We start from the raw sequence: 4,128 nt of genomic DNA, 5'->3' as shown, positions 1-4,128 counted from the left end.
TATGATTGTGCTAAAAAAAAAAAATCCTTAAACCTAGCAGCTTAAAACAAGAGATATTTATTATTTTGCATAGTTTCAGCAGGTCAGGAAATCAGGAGCAGCTTAGTTGAGTGATTCTAGTTCAAGGTCCTTCATGAGGTTTCAGTTAAGATGTCATTGAGGGCTGCAGTCATCTGAAGGCTAGATGGGAGCTGGAGGAGCCACTTCCAGATAGCTCACTCACATGGCTGCCTAGCTGTGGGCAGGAGGCTTCAGCTCTCCACAGGGCTGCTTGAGTCCTCATGACCCTCACGACATGGCAGCCAGTGTTATCCAGTGCGGTGATTCAAGAGAGCTAGGCAGAAATTGCAATATCATTTATGACTCAGCCTTGGAAGTGACATTCTTGTACTTCTGCAATATGCTTTTGGTCACACAGATCATCCCCATTCAGTGTGGGAACAGACTACACAAAGGAGTGACAAGCAGAAGGCAGGAACAATTGGGAGCCATCTTGGAGGCTGACTGGCACAAGCCTTTACAGACATTGTATCTTCAGAAGTTGAAAACAATGGTGCTATTAATATTATTTCTCCATTTTATAGAAGAGGAAATGGAAACGCAGGGCAATTAAGTAAATTTCCTTCAAATTTCACAACCAATAGGTGGCTAAACCAAGATTTGAACTTGTGTCTGTCTGACTCAGCCTGGATTCCATCTGTATGAGTTTGCTAGAGCTACCATAACAAAGTACCACATACTGGGTGGCTCAAAACAACAGAAATTTGTTGTCTCACAAGTCTGAAGACTAAACGTCCCAAACCAAGGTCTCGGCAGGGCCATGTTCCCTCTGAAACTCTGGGTAGAATCCTTCCTTGCATCCTTCACCTTCTGGTGGTGGCCAGGAGTTCTTGGCATTCCCTGGCTTGCAGCTGCATGAGTCTCATCTCTGCATGCCTCTTCATACAGTGTTCTCCTGGTGTGTCCTCACATAGTCCTCTGTGTCCGTGTTCAAATTTCCCTTTTTTGTTTGGTGTTAAAGAAAAAATTATTCAATGACACTTGTTAAAACACAGCAAGGAAGACTTTATCCAGGACCATTGCGATAGGTATGAGGAGCACTGCAAAAGGGTCTTGCAGCGGGGGAGAGAGATTGGAATCAACTCCGAATACAACATGAGCCAATTTATAGCTACTGAGCAGGGTGGGGGTCAGTGGGTGGAAAATTACCAAGAGGAAAACATCAGTGGTAAGGGGCATCCTGGTTAAACCAACCCACTAGGATTCTTGCTGAAGACAGGCTGGAGTGATCAGACATCACCTGGGGGATGGTGGAGGATGAGGAACCTGATCAGCTATCAAGGATGATCAGGTCTCGAGGATGAGGAGCTTCCTCCTAAGCTGCTTCAGCAGGGTTTTTTGTTTGTGTGTGTGAACCCAGAAAATTTGAGACAGGTCTCAGTTAATTTAGGAAGTTTATTTTGCCAAGGTTGAGGACGCACACACGCCCATGACAGCCTCAGGAGGTCCTGATGACATGTGCCCAAGGTGGTCAGAGCACAGTTTGATTTTGATTTTATACATTTTAGGGAGACATGAGACATCAATCAACATACGTAAGATGAACACTGAACATTGGTTCAGTCTGGAAAGGCGGGGTGGGGGCTTCCAGGTCATAGGTAGATAAGAGAAAATTGGATGCACTCTTTTGAGTTTCTGATTAGCCTCTCCAAAGGAGGCAATCAGATATGCATTTATCTCAGTGAGCAGAGGGATGACTTTGAATAGAATGGGAGTCAGGTTTGCCCTAAGCAGTTTCCCAGCTTGACTTTTCCCTGTAGCCTAGTGATTTGGGGGGCCCAAGATATTTCCCTTTCACATTTGTTCATTTGTTTGTTTGTTTTTGCTAAAACTGGATTTTACAAGGAAGTACACAGATGGGGCCAGGAAAAGTTTTATAAGAATTACTGACGTGAGTGAAGCAAACTTCAAGGCCAAGCAAAGATTCTTTGTCAAAGGACACTAGTCATATTGAATCAGGGCCCACCCTAATGACCTCATCGTAACTGAGGGTGTTATCGCACTCAACACCTGTGGAAGGAAGTTAAATCTACAAAGCCCCTATTTCCAAATAAGGTTCTCACCAGTGGAGGGTGTCCAGGTTCTTGGTGTCAACTTGTTCTTAGTACATTCCAGAACTAATGTCAGATTTGGGTCATCAGAGTCCACAAACCACATCAGTGAAGAAGATGGATAGGATTCCGTGATGTTGCAGTGGAGTGTGAGCAGCGGCAGCAAGTGCAGGCTGCCTGGCAGCAGAACCGGGAACTGGCAGTGCAGCTCATCCAGCTTCCAGCTGATTATGCGGAATTGCTTGTGGTTCTTGCTGAAGATGTGTTTCTGGACCAAACTGAGGGTTGGGCTGCTATTTCTCGTGGCCCAATAACGAGATGCAGATGAACTGGGAAGGAAGAGAGTCTTTATTTCCATAACTGGTTACAGGGAGAAGGCCTGGAAATTATCGCCAGACCAACTCAAAATTATAAAGTTTTCCAGAGCTTATATACCTTCTAAGCTGTACATCTATGTGTAAGTGTGTATTTATTCAAAGACGTAAGTGATTAACTTCTTATAATCTATAACTAAGGTCTGAGTCCTGAAGACCTTCCTCTGAAGCCTCAGTAAGTTTACTTAGTCTAAATGGGTCTAGGTGCTGGGGTGATTACCCTAATCTTGTCTCCTGCTAAATCATAAAGATTTGGGGAGTTCCTTTAGATGCCAATAAACTTGTTTGTGGAGGCCTGGGGAGTTATTTCAGACCCCCAACAAAACGTGTTTAATCCTAAAAAGGTCCTGTTAAGAATTCCTTTGTTATATTGTCATGCTTCAAGGCCCAGGAAAAGCCTAGGCAAAACTCTTGCTGGGCTCTTTGCTATATTTCAGACTCTTTATAAGAGCACTGGCTCAATCAGCTTTTACTGTTTAACCTAGCTACTCAGTCAGTGCTGGGACAGTTGTACTGGAGGCCCGCATTAGTGAGACCTGGCCTGCCACAAGGTCACATTCTGACGTAATGGGAATTAGGACTTCAACATATCTTTTTAGGGGGACATAGTTTAGCCCATAATACCATCTGACCCCGGAGCCCACACTCTAGTCATCACAACCCCTGCTCCTGTTGAAAGTGTAGGGGAAATGAAAATAGCTTCCGTCTACCCTCCTCAGTGAACTAGTCTACAAATTAAATTGGCATAAGACAGGTTAACAGGAGGAAACCATTTTAATTATGTACATATGCACACACAGGAGCCCCATGAAAACATAAGACTCAAAGAAGGGCCAATGTGGGCCCTTCTATAATTACAGTGGCTCATGCCTGTAATTCCAGCTACTTGGGAGGCTGAGGCAGGAGGATTGCTTAAGCCCAGGAGTTTGAGACCAACCTGGGCAACATAGCAAGACCCCATCTCTCTCTTAAAAAAAAAAAAAAGATAGGCCAGATGATTGACACTTAATCTGAACTACAGAAAGGCATAAGGGTTTGGGGCTTCTAGGGAACAGTAGAGACAGATCGTAGGAGGGTGAGGGGAGGAAATGTATGGTGGAAATAAAGGTTACCTTGTTATGCAGATAAGAGTGTCTCAGGTAATAAAAGCTGGCTCAAAGCAGCTTTCTTCCTGGTATAGATATCTTTACTAACGAAAATTTCCTTTATACATTTCTCTCTACAAAAGGGGAGTTTGTAACTGCCCAAGGGGTTCACCTTGCCCGCTGCCTAGACAGAGCCGATTCATCAAGACAGAGGAATTGCAACAGAGAAAGAGTAATTTACGCAGAGCCGCTGTGCAGGAGACCAGAGTTTTATTATTACTCATATCAGTCTCCCCAAGCATTAAAGTTTTTAAGGATAACTTGGTGGATGGGGGAAATCCAGTGAGCCAGGAGTGCTGATTGGTCAGGAATGAAGTCATAGGGAGTAGGAGCTGTCTTCTCTTGCTGAGTCAATTCCTGGGTGGGGGCCACAAGATCAGATGAGCCAGTTTATTCATCTGGGTGGTGTCAGCTGATCCATCAAGTGCAAGGTCTACAAAATATCTCAAGCAAATTATCTGAGGAGCAGTTTAGGGAGGGTCAGAATCTTGCAGCCTC

General features: G+C 44.4%; 1 pseudogene, besides 1 other annotated feature; it reads right to left on the bottom strand.

Moving 5' to 3' along the window:
• Positions 2,173–2,374, bottom strand: UBE2Q2P9 (UBE2Q2 pseudogene 9; annotated as a pseudogene).
• Positions 3,916–4,128: a silencer, noted in NCBI's record as "fragment chr3:72054171-72054383 (GRCh37/hg19 assembly coordinates)". NCBI's record gives its function as "represses an EF-1alpha promoter that drives an FKBP-Casp9 reporter gene in an ReSE screen in HepG2 liver carcinoma cells {active_cell/tissue: HepG2}" and the evidence as "EXISTENCE:reporter gene assay evidence [ECO:0000049][PMID:32094911]".

The sequence above is a fragment of the Homo sapiens genome, chromosome 3 (assembly GCF_000001405.40).
Source record: "Homo sapiens chromosome 3, GRCh38.p14 Primary Assembly".
In the NCBI taxonomy this organism is placed as follows: Eukaryota; Metazoa; Chordata; class Mammalia; order Primates; family Hominidae; genus Homo; species Homo sapiens.
The sequence above is the reverse complement of the archived record's forward strand: the minus strand, read 5'-3'. Positions and strand labels throughout refer to the sequence as shown.